Below are 23,261 nucleotides of genomic sequence, written 5' to 3' on the forward strand. Positions count from 1 at the left end.
AGTCAAATTCAAGTCTGGATCTAGTTAATTTCACAGCCTTTCTATTCCATTGTAGCACATTGCAGCTAACACTCACAAGGCACATAGTGATAATAATCAAGATTTGCTGGATGCTTTTCCTGCTTAAGACCAGGAAAGAAAGAAATTTTGCCTACCATTGTGTTAAAAATTTGGCTCTCAATGCCACTTGGGAGTTCAATGAGTGTCATCATATACTCAAGATATATGAGTCCATTCTCATGCTGCTATAAAGAAATACCCGAGACTGGGTAATTTATAAAGGAAAGAGGTTTAATTGACTCGCAGTTCTGCATGGCTGGGGAGGCCTCAGGAAACTTACAATCATGGTGGAATGGGAAACAGGCACATCTTACATGGCGGCAGGCAAGAGAGAGGAGTGGAAAACACCACCTATAAAACCATCAGATCCTGTGAGAACTCACTATCACAAGAACAGCATGGGAGGAGACCACCCCCATGATCCAATCACTTCCCTCTAAATCCCTCACTTGACACATGGGGATTACAATTTCAGATGAGATTTGGGTGAGGACACAGAGCCAGACCATATCACAAGGGTATTTTCATCTCTGGATGTATGGGAAGACTCCAGTTTCTTGACCTATCAGACTAGGACAAGATCAAGGTAAGTAAACCAAGTCTTCTCCAAGTAGTAGCTATTCTTTACCAAAAACCCACTTCAATTGTCAACAGCTCCTTTGTCAAATTTTGCCTTGTGTTAAAATGCTACAGAGAACAGTTGAAAATAATACAGCTCAAGAAAAGGCCATTGCACTTGGTTCCAGACAATCTGTAAACGAGCAGTCAGGACAGTGGTGAGGATATGAGTCAAACTGCAAAATGCTAAGGAGTGAGAAGAGAGTGGGCAAGTTGAAGAAACAGGGAATGTGTGTGGCAGCAATGGGGATCCTGGCAGGAAACAACAGAGAAGCTAAACTATTTTACAGTTCGAGATGCCTGAATGTGTTGAAGACCAGAGGAAAGGAGCTAGCAGAGAAGGAGACATACAAGATACAAGAAAGGCAAGTCTCAGAAGAGGTAGGAGGTAAGATCTCAGGAGAAGTGAGTAGGTAAGGGCTCAAAAACACAGGGGGAGGAACTAGCCTTGGCATGATGAATGACACTCTTACCCATAAATGGGACAAAAGAAGGAAAGGGGAGACTTATCATGGACAGGTTTTGAGATAGAGGAAATTAGAATCCCCAACATTAAAACAGAATTCCAGTTTTTCTCAATTTCTTTACTAAAGATTGCATGAAAGACTTTAGTAACTGCAAAGTCATAAGTCCTAAGAAGTGGGTTTGAGGGTACAATTTTGGGTGGAGAGAGAAAGTAGTAAATGCTATGAAGCTGCCAGTGGCCATGACTAGAATGCAAAAACATTCTATGTTACACAGAAAAAAGAACCGGATTGGATATGCTAAGGATCAGGGGCATTTGAAAGGAGAGAGGGGTACATTAGAGGGAGAATGGGTAGAAATACATAAGTTTTCTGTTTATGTCCATTGGGCCTAGGCTACATAAATGTGGAATTTTTCTTCCTTCACCCAGTACATTGAGGTGAGACACAATAAAAGCAGTTTGAAAACTATACAGGACCTTTGGTTGTTATGAAATATATGAGTGAGTAGATAGAGGGATGCATGAATAGATGGATAAATGGAAGGGTAGAGAGATGGGTAGAAAGGCAAATACAATACTGAGATAGAGAAGAAAGAATAAAAACATATTTTATTGACATTTTTCAAATTTGACTCCTGATTGAAAGACTTATCAGTGCTGCATCATTAAGTAGGTGAGGAAAGTGGGAAGTACTTCGGTCTTTTCTCTTTCTAATTTGGCCAATATCAGGAAAGAGAATTAGAGAATGGCAAGGGGAGTTTTATCTGAAAGCGTTTATTTAGAGGAAGCTAAGAGCAGGAGTTACAGTGCAAATAGTGAGGGAGAAGAACCAAAGGCTTTTTAAACCCCATAGTTGAATCAGGTAGCCTTGCCACTACAGACCATAGAAAGGGAATTGGCACAAAAACTGTGAGTAACTTCCATGAGAGACTGTAAAGGCTCCTCTTGAAGTAAAATAGAAAAGCATCATTGGCCGGATGCAGTGGCTGAGGCCTGTAATCCCAGCACTTTGGGAGGCCGAGGTAGGTGGATCATGATGTCAGGAGATCAAGACCATCCTGGCCAACATGGTGAAACCCCATCTTTACTTAAAATGCAAAAAATTAGCCGGGTGTGGCAGTGCATGCCTGTAGTCTCAGCTACTCGGGAGGCTGAGGCAGGAGAATTGCTTGAATCCAGGAGGCAGAGGCTGCAGTGAGCCGAGATCATGCCACTGCACTCCAGCCTGGGCAACAGAGCGAGACTCTGTCTCAAAAAAAAAAAAAAAAAAAAGAAGAAAAGCAAAGCATCATTTAAGTGGTTTAGCAGAACTTGACATCAAGTTGAAATTAGAGAGATGGCACCAAATAAGCCTAAGGGTTTAGTGTTTCTAACTTACTTGTTCCAGATGTTATTGACTTAAGTTTGTAATGGCTCTGTAGATGATTAACAATTACATGTCTGTCTTGCTATGTTTTACTCTTTAAATTTATATTTCTATTTTTATGGGGAATTTTATTTTTTTAAAAAAATCTGCCGGGCGTAGTGGCTCACGCCTGTGATCCTAGCACTTTGGGAGACCGAGGCGGGCGGATCATGAGATCAGGAGATCAAGACCATCCTGGCTAACATGGTGAAACCCCGTCTCTACTAAAAATACAAAAAATAAGCCAGGGGTGGTGGCGGGCACCTGTAGTCCCAGCTGCTAGGGAGGCTGAGGCAGGAGAACGGCGTGAACCCGGGAGGTGGAGCTTGCAGTGAGCCGAGATCGCGCCACTGCACTCCAGCCTGGGCGACAGAGAGAGACTCCGTCTCAAAAAAAAAAAAAAAAAAAAAAAAAAAATCCTAGTTCAGTGTGAATGAACTATTTCTCGTTAGTCAAAATGGAAGAATTTTATTTTCAGGAGAGCAAAGTCATTCTTATTTAGGATAATTAGAAAAAGGGAAAATTGTGACATAAAGTCAGTGATGAAGAAGGAAAGAATATTTTTCATGATAAAGTCTTACAAAATATCTATATGCTTATAATACCCAAATTAACAATGACAGCCTACCTTGCACCTCAGTTTGGACTTAAATATCCAGTTTCCTCACTTGGCTGCCTTACACACTTCTCAAATTTAGTATATCCAATACTGAACTCCCGATCTGCTCTTCCAAACCTGCTCTTTCTACATCTTCCCCCCTTTCTATAAATAGCACTTCACTCTTAGTTTTTCAGGCCAAATATTATGGAGCAATCCTGGACCTCATACTTTGCTCCATGTTCCTCATCTGATCCATCAAATCTTGTCCTTTCTCTTTTCAAAACATGTATCTCAGCGGGGCACAGTGACTCACACCTGTGATCTCAGCACTTTGGGGGGCCAAGGTGGGCGGAGGGCTTGAGCCCAGGAGTCCAAAACCAGCTTCGGCAATATGGCAAAACCCCATCACTACAAAAAATACGAAAATTAGCCGGGCGTGGTGGCACACACCTGTAGTCTCAGCTACTTGGGAGGCTGAGGTGGGAGGATCGATTGGGCCCTGGGAGGTTGAGGCTTCAGTGAGCTGTGATTGCGCCATTGCATTCCAGCCTGGGTGACAGAGAGAGACCTGGTTTCAAAAACAAAACAAAACAAAACAAAAAAAACTAGGTATGGTGGCTTATACCTGTAATCCCAGCACTTTGGGAGGCCAAGGCTGGCAGATCACTTGAGGGCAGGAGTTTCGGACCAGCCTGGCCAATACGGTAAAACCCCATCTACTAAAATACAAAAATTATCAACACAACAGTCAGAGTAAAACTTTTGGAGGATAAGCCATATCATGTCACTTGGCTGCTTATAATCTTCCCTTGGCTTCCCATTTTCCTTAAACTAAAAGCTTTACTGTGGCCTACAAGGACTTAGGGCCTGGCATTGGTACTTGTTGTTCTCTTTGCCTGCAATGTTCTTCACCTTGGCCTCCCCAGAGCCTCATGGCTGCTTCCTCATTCTCCTTCAAGTCTTTATTCAAATGTCACCTTCCCAGTGAGATCTTCCTTGGTTACACTATCTAAATTGCAAACTTCCCTAAATTCCATTTTCCACTCCCTGGCACTCTCTGCCCCCTTTACCTGATTTATGTTTCTCCATAGCACTTACTACCATCTGACATTTATATTTTATTTATTTATCTTGGTTACTGTTTGTGTACTCCCACCAGATTTATAAGCCACCTAAGAGCTGGAATTTTTTTCTGTTTTGTTCATTGCTGTATTCCTTGAACAATGCCGGAAGAGTAAGCAGCAGGCATTGAATAGTAAGCATTGAATAGGTCTTTGTGGGAGGAAAGAAGGAAGAAAGAGAGGAAAGAAGAAAGGGAGAAAAGGTGGGCAGGCAGGCAGGAAGGGCTTACAAATGTATTCCAATAATATCTCTGGAGTGATAAATATAAGAACAATTGTTGAAAGGTGAACTCAATAATTCCTGAACATTAAATTCGAAAAGCTTAGGGCATTAAGAGAAGTATGAGACTCAAGCAAAAAGACTGTTTAGTATGCATACCTCTGAATACACACACACACGCACACACACAATGAATTTACAAGTCTTCTACTGAAACTGAAAAGGTTTCTACAGAACAAGAAATGATCACTGGAAACCCATCATACAATTTCGCTATTACTAGTTGAAAAATGTAAGATGTCATTGAGATTGCCATTGTTGAAGATGTCATATCCGTTGTTTTAGTTTAGTGAATACGTGACTATTTAGTGGGATTTTATAGAGGTGTTTTCTCTCTTGGCTCTCTAGTCATATTTTCCCCCTTAAGTCCCAAGTTTCTTAATTCTTAATTTCAAAATTTTCTTACATTAGCAGTTATCAACAACCAGACTCCTAAACTGTAGTGGGAAAACTGTATTCTGTTCTAAGACTAAAAATAAATGTCATCTGAATTATCCAATGCTGGCACTTATGATTCTTCCATTAGTACAACTTCTAATGAGAGTTCATGCTGGGCAGGACTTCATCTCCTCTCAACCCACAAGAGAACAGATGATGCCACTATTATTTCCTTCTAATAGCCCTAAAAAATGTAAAAGAATAGCAAATCAAATTCAAAGAAAGCAACAGGAAGGAATTAATAAAGATAAGTGACAATTTATGAAATAGAAAAGACATATACAATCTAGAAGATTAGCAAAAAACAAGAGTTGTTTGTTTGAAAAGGTTAAAAAAATTGACAGGGCCAGGAGCGGTGCCTCATGCCTGTAATCCCAGCACTTTGGGAGGCCAAGGCGGGTGGATCACCTGAGGTCAGAAGTTCAAGACCAGCCTGGTCAACATGGTGAAACCCCATCTCTACTAAATATACAAAAATTGCCAGGCATGTTGGCAGGCGCCTGTAGTCCCAGCTACTCAGGAGGCTGAGGCAGGAGAATCGCTTGAACCCGGGAGGTGGAGGTTACAGTGAGCTCAGATCATGCCATTGCACTTCAGCCTGGGCAACAAGAGCAAAACTTCGTGTCACAAAAAAAAAAAAAAAAAAAAAAAAAAAAAAGGTTGACAAGCCACAGCTGAGACTGATCAAGAAAAAGAAAGACACAAATAAGTAATATGAGGAATGAAAAAAAGAGACATATGGCAGGGTGCAGTGGCTTACGCCTGTAATCCCAGCACTTTGGGAGGCTGAGGTGGGTGGATCGCTTGAGGTCAGGAGTTCGAGACCAACCTGGCCAAAATGGCAAAACCTCATCTCTACTAAAAGTACAAAAATTAGCCAGGCATGGTGGCGGGCACCTGTAAGCCCAGCTATTCAAGAGGCTGAGGCAGGAGAATCGCTTGAACCCAGGAGGCAGAGGTTGCAGTGAGCCAAGATTGCACTACTACAGTCCAGCCTGGGAGAAAGAGTGAGACTTTAAAAAAAAAAAAAAAAAAGATTAACAGAGAATGAGGATATTATAAACTCCTTTCTGTCTATATATTTTAATGATTTACATTAAATGGAGACATTCTTGGAAAAGTTGGACTCAAAAAGAAATAGAAAACTTGAATGCTCATAAAATTACAAATTGAATTAATAGTTTAAAAAATCATCCAGTATTGGGAGGCTGAGGCAGAAGAATTGCCTGAACCCAGGAGGCGGAGGTTGCAGTGAGCAGAGAGTGCCCCACTGCACTCCAGCCTGGGTGACAGAGCGAGGCTCCACCAAAAAAAAAAAAAAAAAAAAAATCATCCAATGAAGAAAACACTAGTATCTGATGGCTTCTACAGCAAGTTCTAATAAACATAAGATACAGTTATTTTTATTTTTTACCCAAACCTCCAGAGAATAGGAAAAGAGAGGACATCCCCAGCTCATAAGAAACTAGTATAGATTCTAAAACTTCACAAGGACCATAGATAAGAAAGGTAAGTCATACGCCAATTTCACACATGATATCAATGCAAAAAATCCTTAAAAAACCATCTGAGAGCAAACTCCAATAATAATTGAAGAGGATAATAATATATTATGATCAAATGGGGATTATACCAGTATATAAGCTTAACATTTAATAATTAAATTTTTAGTAAACCAGAATTAGAAGTGAAATTCCTTAATCTGTAAAGGAATATATATTAAAATCCTACAGCAAATAACATACTTAATGGTAAAATATTAAAAGCATTCCTTTTAAGATTAAGAACTAGATGAGGACGCTTACCAGGACTATTTTCATTCAACTTTGTACTGGAGGTCTTAGACGATACAGCACCAAAAAATAAATAAAAGTTATAAGAAGTGAAAAGGAAGAAATGAATCTGTCATTATTCATGTATAACATGGTTGTATAAACAGAAATTTTTAAAAATCTACAGATAAATTGTTAGAATTAACATGAATTTAGGGTGTTTCTAGATCCAAAATCAATGTATAAAAATCAACTGAGAGATATTAATAAAGATTTACATGTTTGGAGGAATATGCCAATTCAATAAATTTCCCCCAAATTTACTTATAGATTTAATGAAATCACAGTTCAAATCTCAATAGTTTGTTTTGGAATAATTCAAGATGATCATAAAATTCATGTGGAAATGCGAAAAGCTTACAAAACCTGAGACACTTTTGAAAAAGAAATCTTGGGAGGTCTTGCTATATCAGATTCTAAGACATTATAAAGCTATGACAATCAAGATATTGTGGAATTGGTGCAGAGATAAACAAATAGACCACTAGGACAAAACAGAAAGCCCTAAAACAGACTCATATATATATATATATATATAATATATATATAATATATATATTATATTATATATATATATATGAACACGTGATATTTGACAAAGGTAGCAAAGCAGAGTAGTGGGAAAAGGACACATTTTTCAATTAATGATGCTGGAAAAATTGGGAATCACTTGGGAGAAACTGAAATTAAACCCCTATCTCATATAATATGCAAATAATAATTGTGGATGGATTTTAAAACTAAATGTAAAAAACAGAGCTATAAAGATTTTAGAATATAGGAAAATATTTATGAGAAGGATTTCTTAAGACAGTAAAAAAATACTAATCTTAAATTAAAAATTGATAAATTTTACATCTAAACTATATTTACCAAAGATAGCATTTGAAAAGCAAAAAGAAATTTTTGCCATAGAATGGGTGAAGCCAATAGCCAACACATATAATTCATGAGGGCCTAGTGTTCAGAATGTATTTTTTAAAATCTTACACACCAGGAGAAAGATAACTCAAGAAAAGACTTGGCAAAAGACTTGGGCAGGGGCCTCATATAAGGGGAAATCCAAATGATTAATAAACACATGAAAGTGTAAGCAATCTCAGTTGTCGAGGAAATGCAAATTGTATGCCACTGTGACAAACCACTCCCTTCCTACTGGCACAAGTAAACAATAAGAACAATACCAAGGATTGATGAGCATAGAACTCTTATCCCTGCTGGTGAAAGTATAAACTGGAAGCAGTACATTTTGGAAGCAGACCACCATCATCTCATAAAGTTGGAGATATGCAGAGTCTTTGATCCAGCAGCTCCACTCCTGAGTTTACACCCTTTAGAATCATGGACTTATGTGCAGCAAGATACATTTTCAAGACTTCATAGCAGCATCGTTCTTAATAGCCTACAGTGGAACAACTCCATATTAGTTAAGGTGAAGCTGGCTGATTCATTTGACACGATAAAATCGTTTATTTCCTACTCCCATGTTAGGCCAATGTGGATGCTCCCAATCAGGGTGTTCTTCTGGGCAGCTCTCATCCTACCGGTGATTCAGGAACCGAGGTTTTTTCTATCTTGTGGCTTTCCAGTCTTCTACACATGGTTTCCAAGGACACCCAGAGGTCACCTCTAGTCCACACGTGGGGGAGGGGGGTGGGGAAGATAATGGAAAATCATAGGTGGGAGGTGTGTGTGGGCAGACCAGACCCCATGGTCATACCTCACTGAAAGAAGGCTGACAAAGCCATCCAGATGTGCCCAGGAACAAGAGGTGCCCGGCAGAACACAGGGATGGTGATTCACTATTAATCTCTGGCACGAGCCAAAATGCCGAGAAACAAAAGAATGGATACGTTGTGATACATGCGTACAATGGGATGTGATTTGGCAATGGAAGTGAACAAACTACACCTACACCCAACAAGGATGAAAGTAACAAAAATAATGTTGAGAAGAAGCTAGACCTGAAAGAAGACTGTGGCTACATTTCTATCTACATGTACATAAACATATACAACTCAAAAACAGACAAAACTAAGCTATATTGTTTAGAGAAGTATACAGAGATCACAAAAGAATAGGGAAAAGCAAGGGAATTGTTAGAATTAAAGTTGGGATAGTACCTCTGGGGGACGCCGGATTTGTGGTTGGGAAGGATACACCGGGGGGCTGGCAGTCTCCTATTTCTTGGCCTGATGGTGGCAGCTGTTGGGGTATTTATGCACTTTTCCTCACACATATTTTGCATCCACACACACAAATTCAAAATGCCAAATGTGTTTTTGACCTTCACATAAGAAGCCCTGCTATTTGGCACAGAGAAAACCAGTTTCCCTCTAGGTGGAATACCATCGCCCCTTGGAAAACCAAGCTTTCCTCTCTTCCCTACTGGAAACTGAGTGCCCTCCAGACCTAATTTTCTCTGATTTACCATGTTGAAGGGGAAGAAAAATCTGTGCTCCCATTTGACATAATTGCCAAACACCCAATTTTGTTCCTGTAGGTCCCTATGTCAATGCTATTATCTGCTGTTGTCTTCAACAGCAGATAATTACTATCTCTTTCCCCAGTTGATGAACGGTTTCTGCCATCATCTAGTTTTGCAGTTAACGAAATGCCATTTTGCTACTGGCGTTACTACTTCTCTCATGATCTCTTTATCTTTGTTTCCTATAGTAACTTGTAAATTCCAGTGACTCATATCTCTCTTGTTCCAGACACTTAACTTTCAAATCTGTATTTTCCACTCTCCAGTGAACAATTTGTTTTACATTCTATTGCATCTCCCTTTCATCATCCTTGAATTCTACAGCTGGGAAAAGCCTCCGTCCTGTTACCCAGCCCTGAACACCTTTGTTTTTCCATTTCACAGACTCAGGAATCCGTTCTTGGGTAGCGACTCAAACACTCAGCTTTTGAAGGTAGATAATTTGAAGTATTTCCATGTCCCCTCGCATAAAAGGCGTTTGTACTGGTGTCCTTCAGCAGAAACTTCTCTCTGCCTCCTACTGAGATATCCAAAGGGCTGGTTGGCTTCCAGCCCTGGGTCCCAGAAATGGTGGCATTTCAGTGGCAAGATTCCCACTACCTCTTGATTGTGAAATGGATTGGAATAAAATGTGCAATGAGAAGGGGAGTAACATGGGGATAAGCAGCTTCGATTCTCCTTGGCTGCCTCCTGAAAAGGTTGGCTGCATCTTCTAGGTTACCTGTCAGACATTGGAGACCCTAAGTCTCCAAGTTCTAGAAGAGCAGAGCTTGGACAGTCTTTTCCCTCTCTCTTTCTTACTGCAGGAGCAACTGCTTTTAGTCACCCTTGGGAGGAATACCTACTTGTGACAGCAGCCTGGGAGAGAAATGTTTTCGGGGTATTTTTCTTTTTCTTGTTTCTTTTTCCCTCTCCGAGTCAACTTAAGAAGGTCTCAGAGCTAGTTTTCAGGCTGTTTAGGGTTTAACACCTGTTATGTTAGTACAACTTGTAGGCACACCCTCTGATTAAATTACCTCTTTAGAGAAAAAGAAGCCAGCTGTAGAACTAACACTCATAAAACTAATGAGTAAATAAATAAGCAGACCCAAAAGTTGTGAAGCAATCCAGAAATCACCAAATCAAATACAATTTATTATTTGTCAGTTTCCACTGGTATGACTGAGGCTTGGCTATCATTTATTTTATTGAGTCTCTCCTGCAGATTAAAGCTCCCCATTCAGGACAGATGTTTTTAAAGGTTGTTCTGGGGAGGAGACTCAGGTTGCACCTAAGTGGGATTTTACGCAGAGCTTCCCTCACAGCTGACTTCCTTCCCCTCCCCTTTCTATTGTAAATTACCTTGGACAAGCCTATGGTAAAGAATGTACAGCTATTTTGATTTTTAAATAAAGTCTTTTTTTATATGGCACTTACTACCTTCAAACACAGATCAGCAAAACTAATGTAGTAGGTTACAAAAACCTAATCAATCTAGAATGATTCAGTTTATCACTTCGGGTCTTTCAAAAGATTTAAAATGTCAGAGTTGTAAAAAAAAAAAAAAAGCAAGATATTAAAAACTGTGCCAACTAAAACAAATATTTTGTTGTACTTACATATCTCAAGCATTAAAATGATATGATTTTAATGCTTCTCATGACAGCATCCTTAGTTATGCATGGGCTAATTGGAAAAACAACTTATTTTTAGGTAGGCCTATAGAAATGTTTCCCACAGAAAAACATTAAAATTTTCAACTGATAAAATGTATTGATCACATAAAGTCTCATCAATCCTATCAGATACTTGGTATTTTAACAGTGTTCTGAACCCTGAACGATTGCTTGGAGGCAAAGTAATTAGAAAAGAATTGCATACTATTCACAATATCCATATTTTGAATATTTATTTTCCATATTAGAGGGGTTTTTTTCAAAGAACTTTTCCCTACCTGAACCAGATAATTTTTAAAATGTGTTTTCTTTATAAAAGGATAAATAGGATTACTTAAATCATCTTTCATAAATTAGCTACAGTCAGGAAATGATAAATTAAGGCTGCTAGCCACCAGGCTCTCAAATTAGGCATGCATGCACACAGGCACACATTAACTGATACGTTAGCAATTTTCACCTTAAATTGTCAGGATTGTCCTGGTTAATCTCACACACTGAATAATAACGTAAAGTGCTTTGGGTTGCAGTCACTTAGTTTGTAATAATGGTTGATGCCTCGTACAAATAATGCTTTTTAGGAAGCCTCACAATTTAACAGGGAAAAAAGGTTGAAGGAGGAGTGTTTACATTTCCCCCTATGTTTGATACACCCGCCTCTCCTCAAAGTGTCTCCTCTGATCAGAATTTTAAAGCGTTCTTAAAATACATCATAAAATAAAATTTAATGTCAGTACGGCATTTGTGGACTGGGGAAGGGAATGTGTGGGTGGGGAGGTAGGTGGGGGAGGGAAAGGAGTTTAACAGCAGATCTTCCTTCAAAGAAAAAGGCAGGTTAGTGTCTTTTTCATGCTTACCCAGAGCAGCCAGCTTCTGCTCATCGGCACCCCAGAACACACAGAATCTCTCCTCCCTGATCCCAACACTGGCCAGTGTACTCATTTCCCCCAGCCTGTGTGTTAGTGCAACCAGCTCGGGGTTGTGCCCTAAATACTGGAAAGTCACAAATCACTGGTTCAAATAGACCCGCTTCTTCAAAGGAAAGAATGGGGAGTGGTGAGGGAAGGAGGAGGAGAGATGCTTAAAGGGATTTACGACCCCCTTGGGTGATGGGTTTGGCACCTGGGCCATTATGCTTCGACAAGGACTATCTGGCAAGTAACAAGAGACATTGAAACGTACGAGGGGCCGATTAGGATGGTTCAATCTTCCCTGGATTAGTCAGGCATTTGATATAAATAAGTAAACACCCAAATCACCTCCACCACAGCCCAAAATGTCTTTCTCTCACTCTCTCTTTTTTTCACAGAGTGAAAGGGACTAGAGATTAGAAAAAGAGGTCTTGTGTATTCAAAGTGCTAATTCAGAACTTCTTTCTCTAATGCACTCATGAAACATTTTAATTGTCTGACTTTGCATTCAAAAGCCTTGTTTGCAACTCCTAATTGCAGGCTGCTTTGAACAAATAATTGAAATGCATGACTTGTGGGGCCTGCTTAAACAATTATAATGTGCTTTGCCGCTACGTGCCGGTCCCCCTCCCAGCCCCATTCCTTTTTGCATAATGACAAGCAGCCAGCTTGATATTTGCAGCCAAGTTAAAACCTTGCTAATTTGCTGTGCTGCAATCTGGGGCTGTGGCAGTGGCCATACCTGCATTAGTGCTTGCAACAGCAAAAATGGCTCTAATAGTTCAACTGAATGTTAAGAAGACCTTTTCATTTTCTGCTGAGAGAATCCCACTGGGGTTTTGTTTTCAAAATACAAATCTTTCATGTGCCTGTTAGTTTTGTATCTACACACAATTTATGAAGCTATTTCCCAGAAAACTCTCCCCAACCTGATTTTAACAGAGTCCTCAACAAACAGGTTCCTTCCTTTCAGGGGGCTCAGGTTTAGAAATGAAACAAGAGTGTCCAGATCCTGGGAATGCCCCATCACTGACCACAGTGGGCGGCTGAGGACCACACACAGGGATGCTGCCTCTGAAAAGGAGTCTCGCTTTTAGAATCTAGAACACGGTGCCAGATGTGCCTTCATTCTAGCCTCCTTGTCAGGACTCAGAGGCTTGAGGAAACTAAGATTGCATGCATTCACGTTTTGAACATTTAAGGTTTTTTGTTTTTGTTTTTGTTTTAATTGCAGTAAAATACACACAACCTAAAACCTAGCATTTTAAACAGCTTTAAGTGTATAGTTCAATGGCATTAAGTGCATTCACACAGCTGTGCTGCCATCACCACTGTGCATCCATACATCTCTTTTCATTTTGCAAAACTAAAACTCCATAACCATTAAGCCATTACTGCCTATTCCCCTCTCCCATCAGCCCCTGGCAACCACCATTCTACTTTAAGTCTCTATAAATTTGACTACTCTAGATGGATTGTTTTTTGAAAAGATCAATCTTACATGTTTTAGGATTAAAAGGATAAACATTTTACTCTAAGAATAAATTATGCCTTTACTGGAATCATCTAGTTCAGTAATTCACAATGCTCCCATTATTTTGCTTATTTCTATTTGGGGTTGGCGGGGGGTGGGTGGCATTTAGCAGATTGAAGAAAGTAGATTTTAAAATTCACTGTTTTGAGGTCCCAATTCCACCTGATAAAGACCGCACTAAAGATGACTTCCTTGCCCCCAGATACCTCCCAGATGCTCTCAGTGGTCTTGGCAGGGTGGCCACAGGAGGGGGCCTCCAGTGGTCTAAGCACTGTGTTTCATATATTATTGGTTCTAAGAGCTCACAATGACCCGTGAGATAGGTATTGTCTCTTTTTTTTACAGATGGGAAGTTGAAGCTCAGAAAAACTGGGTAATTTGCCCAAAGTAACACAGCTCCTCTGTGGGGAGATTGGGATTCAAGCTGGGTCAGTGGGACTTCAAAGCTCTTTTCAAGACACTGAGCTGCACAGCAGGAAGGATCCACAGGAAGTGGTACTTCAAAGACACTTGTTGTTTGGCAGGGAGAGTGGGGATTAACACCAGCTTGTCCCAAGACACAGGTGTAACACGTGTGGGGGAGCTGAGGGAGGGGAATTTCTAGTCATTGTTATGAATACCCCGCATCCCACTAGACTAGGTTGCACCCAGCAGGTGGTATTAGAACCCTCATTGAGAACTCTGGCCCAGTGTTTCTTGGTTTTATTAATCTCCAGAGAAGAGCCCAAAGATTCTCTTCATAACCCACTTTTGAGCTAAGAAAGCCATTCATCCCAATAACAATAGCTGGCCTTTATTGAGTGATTGCCATGCACCAAGCTCTGTGTGTGTCACTTACAAATACAGGCAGCCTTGCTCTCAAGTTCACACACTTAATACTACCCTAGAAAAATTCTCTTAACATAAAATGCAAGTCAATCTGCAGAGCCCCATTCAGCTCCATGCCTTCAGTAGAGAACGTGTGTGTGTAACACTGGGCTATACTGCCCCAAGTGAGAGTTCTCCCCTATGATGGGTAGGCCACATTTGGGTCTTCCAAGTCACAGCATATGACAGAAAGCAACAGCTCTGCTTTTCTAGGCAGGTAGTCCCATCTCTCCAGGTACTCCTCACTAGAGATGGTGACTATAGCGCACACACACACACACACACACACACACACACACACACACACATACACACACTCTCATACATACACTACACACACAGACATGAATAGCCTCTTTCTTGGATGGAAACATTTGTTGTAGTCATCTTGTTGCCTAAAACATCACCTCCAATGTTTTTCTGCTCTCTAGAAGTCCAAATTAAAAACTCAAATGTGTGCTATGGAAATCAAATGATGTAGACATCTATTACAGATTTCTCCAGGAAGTATTCATTCATGGCAGAATGGTTAAGGACCACAGTCTTGGAGATAACTCAGTTTCAAATCCCATGTCTGTCGTTTATTAGCTGTGCAATTTTGAGCAAGTTACTTATCTTTTCTGCAGCTCAGCTGCTTCTGTAAAATGGGAATAACACCACTAGCACCTACCTAAAAGAGATAGTTGAAAGCATTATGGATTGCAGCACGTTGAGTGTGTAAAAATCCCTGAATAAATTAAGCACTGAATAAGTATTACCTATTCTTATCATTTTAAGTTGAAAGGTAATTAGGTACCCAAAATATTGTCAAAAATATTTCACCAGAATTTAATCAAGCCTTTGCTCTCACTTCCAGATTTCAGAACATACAAGGGGTAGAAAAACAAGATAAATGAAACTGCGCAGGGCAAACATCAGACAATTCCATAATTGTCATACATTCTACAGGACAACTAGCCAATATACTCCTACCAATTATTATCCAATAATAGTGAATCTTCCAATTACTTTAATGCTTCCACATTAAAGTAATGGTCACCACTGGCCATCACCACAAGCCTCTGCAGGGCAGGCCTCAGGCCCATTGTGTGGATAAGGAGTTGGTGTTTTGCCCACTGAAGATAGCCAGCTGCCTTGCCTTGGCCACACAGCTAATAAGGACCGAGGGAGGATCACAACATTCTTTCCCCAACACCTGTTTTTCTCAAGAGCGCTTCACCTCCACCCTCTGCCCCCCAACTACTGTGCCTCAAATACTCAGATCATTTTGATTTGGCTTTTGTAACTGCAGTTAGGAGACAGCTGAAACAGAACAAACACAGAAAAACTGAAACCCTCCTAACCTCTCGGTTCTAATTTACCTTTTGTCGATTTGAGTCACTGGCTACCATCTGCTGAACTAGCTACCTGGCTGCATCCTTGGGAGGCCACAGCTGACTCACTTTGCCACATTTGCCTGGTGAAGAAGGGCATATTCAAAGGTGAACTGGCACAGTCAGCAGCTTGCGCTTAATTATTCACTAAGACTTTCAGGACTTATTTCTTCAGGGTTAACAGAAGAACCCAAGCCTGTGAATGTAGCCCTCTGCACCCAGCATCTAGCCCAGTACCGGTCACAACCAAGTTCTTAGACGTGTTTTCGGCTAAGGATATCTTTCCATCATTTTTCACCTGCAAATATTGACCCAACTTGAAGGGACACCCACACAGTTGGGACAATTTCAGCATCAAAATGAATAATTGATGGTAATGGATTGCAGCACATTGAACGTGTAAAAATCCCTGTGTTTAAATGAGAATCAATGAAGAGAAAGCAAGCCAGCAAACAAATCCTCATTTGTTATCTTGGAGAAGGCCATTACACCAACTCCTTACTCTGGAAAGTGGTAAATAAAAGGTAAGAATTATGTTCTTTCCAGTTAGAACTCTATTTTAGGTTGACCATTAAGCCCCTGTTGATGAGGCAAGGCCTTTTTTATGGTTGAATACTGGTTACTAAATGTAGAAGGAATTGTCAGGGGTCAGAACATGCTACCCCAAAATATGACACCTTGAAAACTGAGAAAACTGCAGAAGCAGAAAGGTCATTCTCTGACTTTCTCATGTCTTTCTGTGTAAGAGGTAGCCATAAAATAACTTTCTGACCTACCTCCCTTCAAAGTAGGTCACAGGATCCTCATGTGACAGGTGTCCTTACCTATGCCAGGAGGAAAGAAATGAAGATACAGAGAGGCCAAGAAGAATCCTAACGAACAGGTCGTGCTAAGTTCCCCCCAGTTCATTACCATTAGGTCATAATGGTACTATGTCCAGCCATACTTCTACATGACTGCCGATTCTTCCTCAACCTTAACATAAAAATATACAGATTCCTCTGGGTCTTTGAGGTCTTCTTTTCTGAAGGTTCCCATGTCACATAAAACTTTAGCTAAATAAATTTGTTACTCTTTTCCCTTGTTCATTTGTCTTTTGTTATAGGGGTGTCAGCCATGAACCTTGCAATGGGTAAGGAAAAGATATTACCTTTTCTCCCCTACAGAATGATGAAATTAGAAAATTACCATTTTGCAATCCCTGAAGAACTAAGAGATTCAAGCAAGAATCCATGGATAATAGGAAAAAGGTTGATAAATAATTAGATTCAGGCCAGACGCAGTGGCTCATGCCTGTAATCCCAGCACTTTGGGAGGCTGAGGCAGGAGGATCATTTGAGCCCAGAAGTTCAAGACTAGCTTGGGCAATAAATGGAGACCTTGTCTCTACAAAAATAAATAAATAAATAAATTAATTAAAAATTAGCTGGGCATAGTGGCATGTGCCTTTGGTCCCAGCTACTCAGGAGGCTGAGGCAGGAGGATAGCTTGAGCCCAGAAGGTCGAGGCTGCAGTGAACTATTATTGCACCACTGCATTCCAGCCTGGGCAACAGAGCAAGACCCTGTCTCAAAAAATAATAAATAAATAAATAAATAAATAAAAGGATTAGATTCACATGGTATAAATGTGCTAACTCCGCTGCACGTCCCCCTTCCCAAACAGATTTCTTGCTAGTCACAAGTCACTGCTTCTATAGTGGGGCATCTGGCTGTAATGATCTAAACCCATGATTGGTCTTAGCACTTCCAAAGTGGGATAGCCAGACATTCTGTAACTCTTGATGAGATGCAATACAAAGTACACAGTACCACGTATAAAACATTTTCATAAAAAATATTCTAGGCCAGGTGCAGTGGCTCATCCCTGTAATTCTAGCACTCTGGGAGCCCAAGGCAGGTGGATCACCTAAGGTCAGGAGTTTGAGACCAGCCTGGCCAACATAGTGAAACCTCATTTCTACTAAAAATACAAAAATCAGCCAGGCGTGTTTGTGCACACCTGTAGTCTCAGCTATCCAGGAGGCTGAGGCAGGAGAATCGCTTGAACCCAGGAGGCAGAGGTTGCAGTAAGTCGAGACTGTGCCACTGCACTCCAGCCTGGGTGACAGAGTGAGACTCTGTCTCAAAAAAAAAAAAAAACAAACACACACAAAAATCTACCCAAATCTAGTCAAATTTTCAGATATTACTTCCAGGTTATAGGAGATACAGAAGGTAGAAGAACAGGAGAAATGATATCGCAAAAAGAAAAAGTCAGATGATTGAAGAATTATTCAGTTCTATGGGACAACTGACTTGTATCCTCAATAAATAAATGTCATGGAAATGGAGAGGAAAGAAAGAGATGAATTCTTGCATGGATAATCCACAAGAATTGGAATTATGAAATTCTATCATCTTCTGGAAGACGAATTTCTTCCTAGAACAGTGCCCAGAGCAAGAACGAGGCCATATTGAACACTCAATACATATCTGGGCTCTCAGTACGTATCTGTTAAAAGTAAGAATGGATAAGTAAGTGAATTAAATGTATTGATGAGACAAAGAGGCTCAGAGTGCTATGTGCTGTGCTCAGTGGGGACAGCAGGTTGGTGGCAGAGCTTGGACTGATGCTTGATCTATCAATCCCTAACCTGGTGCTTGTTCCGTAGTTCCCTGTTTATTTTTGCTTTTTCATATATAATTTAGTTCCAGATTTTAAAAAACCTTAAGAGACATAACAACCAGATGTAATGGGTGGTTCCTAGTTGGATCCTGGTTTGAATAAGCCCAGCTGAGAAACTGAACAGGAACTGGCTATAAGATAACATTAACACATCTCTGAGAATGCTGTCAGGTGAGACGTGGGTATTGTGGTTACACAGGAAGCAGTCAGTTATTGTTTTCTGGAAACGTATACTAAAATTTTTAGAGGGAAAAGTCATGATATTGGCAATTTTCTTTAAAACATTGCAACATAAAGAACTTGGTGAACCATTTCCAGTAACATGTTAGTAACTATCAAATCTAGGAAATGGAGACACGAGCACTGATTAGGTTTCTCTTTGTTCTATGTGAAATGTTCATAATGAGATGGGTGGGTAGGCAGGTAGATGGATAGATAGACACCCAGCTACCCAGCCAGAAAAATTCTGGAATTCTTTCATGTCTCAATGAAATTATCAATTTTGCCTTAGTAGGATGGGAATGATATTAAAAATTTTTTCTCAAACAGCTATTTTCTAAGAATGTTAACTTTAACATTGACTTAATTCTTATTAAGAGAAACAACTTTATTCTTCAACATCTTCAAGTCACATGCATTTACACAGCACGTGTTGTATTGAATAAAGAGCTTAGAAACGACCAAAGTGCCCCAAAACATTTGGAATGTGTTTCTCAAACAGTGTGCAGGAAATGCTATTCCTCACAATGTTTCATTAAGATAAACTAGGGGGAGAGGGTGCCAAGGCCGATTGAGTTTAGTAAATCCCCTGCTAGAGCAGTCTGTAGCTCTGTGCTGATGAAAAATCTCAGAAGACAGAAATGGGGAAGTGTGGATGCTGGGGAGGGAGATGAAGAGAGGTTGGTTGGTAATCCCAGAACTACGGGAGGCCGAGCTGTGTGGATCATTTGAGGTCAGGAGTTTGAGACCAGCCTGACCAACATAGTGAAACCCTGTCTCTCCTAAAAAATACAAAAATTAGCCAGGCGTGGTGGCGTGTGCCTGTAGTCCCAACTACTCAGGGAGCTGAGGTAGGAGAATCGCTTGAACACGGGAGGTGGAGGATGCAGTGAACTGAGATCACGGCACTGCCCGCCAGCCTGGGTGACAGAGTGAGACTCTGTCTCAAAAAAAAAAGAGAGACAGAGAGAGGTTGGTTATAGGTACAAAATAGTTAGAAGAAATAAGCTTTAATGTTTGATAGCAGACTAGGGTGACTACACTTAGCAAGAATATTAGGTACATTTCAAAGTAACTAGATGAGAGAACTTGAAATGATACCAACACAAAAATAATGATAAACACTGAGGGTGATGGATAACCCAGATATCCTGGCTTGATCATTACACATTCTATGCATGTAACAAACACATGTACCCCACACACATGTAAAATATTATGTATCAATAAAAGAGAAAACAACACATTCTAAACAATCTAGGAGAAGCTGACAGCCCTCAGTTACAGCATTTTGCACCGCATTTGAGTAGTAATTCTAAGAAGGTGCCACAGAGAGGGCTAGCAGCATGGCTTCTGGTTAACGCTGCACTGACCCAGAAGAATCCAGCTATTGGACTACTTGAGAGATGGAGAGAGACAGCTCTTCTTGCCTTCCTGCCTAGTTTACCCTGTGCACACCTCCAAATTTGCTCACAGAAGGGGAAGCATCTGCTGTGTGGTTGCAGCCATCGCACCCAACCTGCTTAGTGCAGGGTACTCCCTAAATTGTAAGATGTGATCACACATTTGAACATGAGAAAGCATTAAGGGGTTATTGGTTTACAGTTGCATGTGCTTAAGGAACTAAGTTGTACATGAAAAACACAAAAACGAAAGCAGGGAGTAGATTGTAGAATGAGCCCTGTGTGTGAAATTGGCAGACCTGTCAGTCCCAGGTTTGCCTCCAGCTGGCTACCCATTATTAACACAGGACCTAGCCTTCTAGGGCTGTGTGACCTCATCTATTGAATGTCTGTCTGTCTGTCTGTCTGTCTATCTATCTATCTATCTATCTATCTATCTATCCACCTACCTACCTATCAATCTATCTATCTATCTGTCTATCTATCTATCTATCTATCTATCTATCTATCCATCTGTCCGTCTGTCGGTCCATCCATCCATCCATCCGTCCATCCATCCGTCCGTCTATCCATCCATCCATCCATCCATCCATCCATCCATCCAGCCATCCTCTCATTCCATGAATAGTTTTTTTTGAGTGCCCAGTATGTGCCAAGTACTACACTAGGCAGTAGGCAGGCATGTCTGCCTCCAGAAGATGACAGATTTCCTAAAGCAGTGTACATTACTTCTGGATTATCTTTGTCAGGCTCCACTTCCCCTTTACCTTTTTTTTTTTTTTTTTTTGCACAAGTAATTGTGAGTAACTATAGGCACTTTTGAGAAGGGTGGCTTTCAGCTAAACCTAAAAGAAACTTCTGGGTAAATATAAATGATCAGCATAAAAACAACATAGTCGTTCTCTTGGGATTTTAAAACTGACATGGTGACAAATTGTTGATGGAGGATGGACAGCTTCCAGGGCAGAGAAAGTGAACTGGTGGCCCTGGCCAGGCCAGCCCAGCCCACAGCTGTGCTCAGTTAGGCTTGCCTGGTGTACCCACACAGCTGTTTTTCTCCTAACAGAGATTTGTTTCTCTAGACCACCGACTTTATCAAAAGTGGGAAAATCAGAATAGGATTAAGAACAAGAGATCTTTTCCAAAAAATTGTATTGACCATGCAGTGGGCTCTACCCTTTTTTGTTTTCTGTGTTTGTGTGTGTGTGTGTGTGTGTGTGTGTGTGTGTGTGTGTGTGCGCGCGCGCGCGCGCACGTTTGTTTTTGTATACCCCATCTGACCACAACAGCTGTTGGGTTTGTGGCACTTCACTCCAGACTAAAAGATAAGTTTGTCTGTACCTGGCCTCTCAAAAACGTCATTTGGAAAGTTGTTTCCTAATATGAGGGGTTGGGGGAAGGGAGCAGCGGAAGACGAGGAGAGGGTGCCCCCTTTCTGTAACTTCCCAGCTACAGCAGAGACAGACAAATCTCACACTGTAAGCCGAGACAGGCTGGGGATTATCTGGCTCACTCCTGATTTAATACATGAAGAAATGAAGCCTCAGAGAAGCCCAGAGCTTGCCCTAAGCCAGACAGCTGAACCGAAACAGGACCAACCCGCTCTCCTGACTCTGCCCTATGGTTTTTTCCCTCTCCTTTAAGATGCCTCAACCTCGAGTGAAAGTGAAACTGCAACTTCTATTAAATCATGCTTTTTAATCATCTCTGAGCACCACGACTTTTTACACGGTTTCCCCTCCTAGGTAATTATCTAAGTGAAATCTTTCATTCTGTCCTGGCATGAGGAGCCCAGAAAAATGAGCCCCCAAGAGTTGGCTCACTGGCAGCATGCCCTGCAAAGCTTCTCTGGTTTGCTAAGAAGCACTTCAGAGCCCCAAACTCATCTTTCTCATGTCACAAAAGAGTGACTGCTCCTGCAGGAATGTCACAAGTACAAAACAAAGGAACTCGGGATCATCAGTAGAGTTCAGTGTTAAGAACATGAACTTGGAACCAAACTGGAGTTGGGAAAAACTTTTCTTTGGCCCGGTTTCCTCTTCTTAACACCAAATAAACGATAGTACCTATTTCATACTGTTGTTGTTAAGTGAGATAATAAATAAGAAAATGCCCAAGGTAAGTGCCAAAAAGATGTCAGTTACTATAGTTATAAATAGGTAAACAAATGTATTATTCACTTGGACTGCTCTTAGTTCTTTTTGTTTTGGAAAGACCAGAGAATCATAATTCCCTTTCACAAGTTGTTTAGATATTGAAGTCCTAACAGAAATTTTGGATAAAGATTATTAAGAAAGCAGAAAATTTCCCAACACAAATCTTTTTTCTTTTCTTTTTTAAAATCTTACAGACAGCTTCAAGTAAAGTTCAATCCTAGTTAGTCACCTCTGAGGGGCTGTTACTCTGCTCTCCCTGTAGCATGTCATACTGGATGTGCTTATCAATGTTGCATTCTTTTTCTGCTTTCATCAGCCAACGTGGGGCACTGTGTGAAAAATGTAGCAATCACCTCTGTCCCCAACAGGTATACTAATTGTATCATTTCCATAACAAACTCATCCTTCACCCGCGTGAGTCCTTGGAATTTGTGGATAGTCCCTTCCATAGCCAGCTCTCCTCTCTGAGGGGTCTTTGTCTGGAAGGTTAAAGCCTAATGGTCCCAGAATATTGAGGGGGTGCCCAGGATAGGGGAGGACCGGATGACTTTGGAAGCATTTCGTGGTAGAACCAGGAAGTACAACCACCTAATTTAAGCATGTTTACAGCACAGTAGCATTGCAAACCACCTTAGAAATATGAACAGGAGAAACACCTGCAGCTCACAGAGGTAAGCCCTACGCTTAATTCCAGCATATGACTACCTCTGTCACTAAGAGTTGGGATTCGTCTTCATTAAACTACAAATGTATCTTTTTTGGTAAAATGATTTTTTTCTTGCCTTCCTCCAAAATACTGCACTTCTACCACCTACAGTTGAAGTCATTTTTCTGCCTGAGGGCATTGCTAGTTTTCTGGTTCTAAAAACCAAAGAGAAAGGAAGGGAAGCCTGAATGTCACTTTTCTGCACAAATTTGCAAAACTGCCGCCCAACCCCAGCCATCCCCAAGCCTCCACATGAGCAGCTACTTGCATGGCATTGCAACAAGGACCTATTGTGAAGCCCTGAGGTGAACAAACTGCTGAAAAGGGTTGTGAATTGCGGATTATTAGCATAAGTAACTTCTCAAATGAGTTTTCAGGAGGAGTCTTGGTTTCTTAGAAGGCTTAAGGCTTACTCTAAAAAGTAAATCATCACTGAAAGTTAAAAGAAGCAACAATCGTAA

General features: G+C 40.7%; 5 annotated features.

Annotated features, from left to right (window-relative positions):
• Positions 11,685-12,375: an enhancer, noted in NCBI's record as "OCT4-NANOG hESC enhancer chr15:60410256-60410946 (GRCh37/hg19 assembly coordinates)". NCBI's record gives its function as "activates a minimal SCP1, AML or CMV promoter by ChIP-STARR-seq in naive H9 embryonic stem cells {active_cell/tissue: H9 hESC(naive)}" and the evidence as "EXISTENCE:reporter gene assay evidence [ECO:0000049][PMID:30033119]".
• Positions 13,066-13,756: an enhancer, noted in NCBI's record as "OCT4-NANOG-H3K4me1 hESC enhancer chr15:60411637-60412327 (GRCh37/hg19 assembly coordinates)". NCBI's record gives its function as "activates a minimal SCP1, AML or CMV promoter by ChIP-STARR-seq in naive and primed H9 embryonic stem cells {active_cell/tissue: H9 hESC(naive and primed)}" and the evidence as "EXISTENCE:reporter gene assay evidence [ECO:0000049][PMID:30033119]".
• Positions 13,757-14,446: an enhancer, noted in NCBI's record as "OCT4-NANOG hESC enhancer chr15:60412328-60413017 (GRCh37/hg19 assembly coordinates)". NCBI's record gives its function as "activates a minimal SCP1, AML or CMV promoter by ChIP-STARR-seq in naive and primed H9 embryonic stem cells {active_cell/tissue: H9 hESC(naive and primed)}" and the evidence as "EXISTENCE:reporter gene assay evidence [ECO:0000049][PMID:30033119]".
• Positions 21,507-21,696: an enhancer, noted in NCBI's record as "active region_9504". NCBI's record gives its function as "activates an Ori minimal core promoter by ATAC-STARR-seq in GM12878 lymphoblastoid cells {active_cell/tissue: GM12878}" and the evidence as "EXISTENCE:reporter gene assay evidence [ECO:0000049][PMID:35858748]".
• Positions 22,260-22,761: an enhancer, noted in NCBI's record as "NANOG hESC enhancer chr15:60420831-60421332 (GRCh37/hg19 assembly coordinates)". NCBI's record gives its function as "activates a minimal SCP1, AML or CMV promoter by ChIP-STARR-seq in primed H9 embryonic stem cells {active_cell/tissue: H9 hESC(primed)}" and the evidence as "EXISTENCE:reporter gene assay evidence [ECO:0000049][PMID:30033119]".

Source organism: Homo sapiens, chromosome 15 (assembly GCF_000001405.40).
Source record: "Homo sapiens chromosome 15, GRCh38.p14 Primary Assembly".
In the NCBI taxonomy this organism is placed as follows: Eukaryota; Metazoa; Chordata; class Mammalia; order Primates; family Hominidae; genus Homo; species Homo sapiens.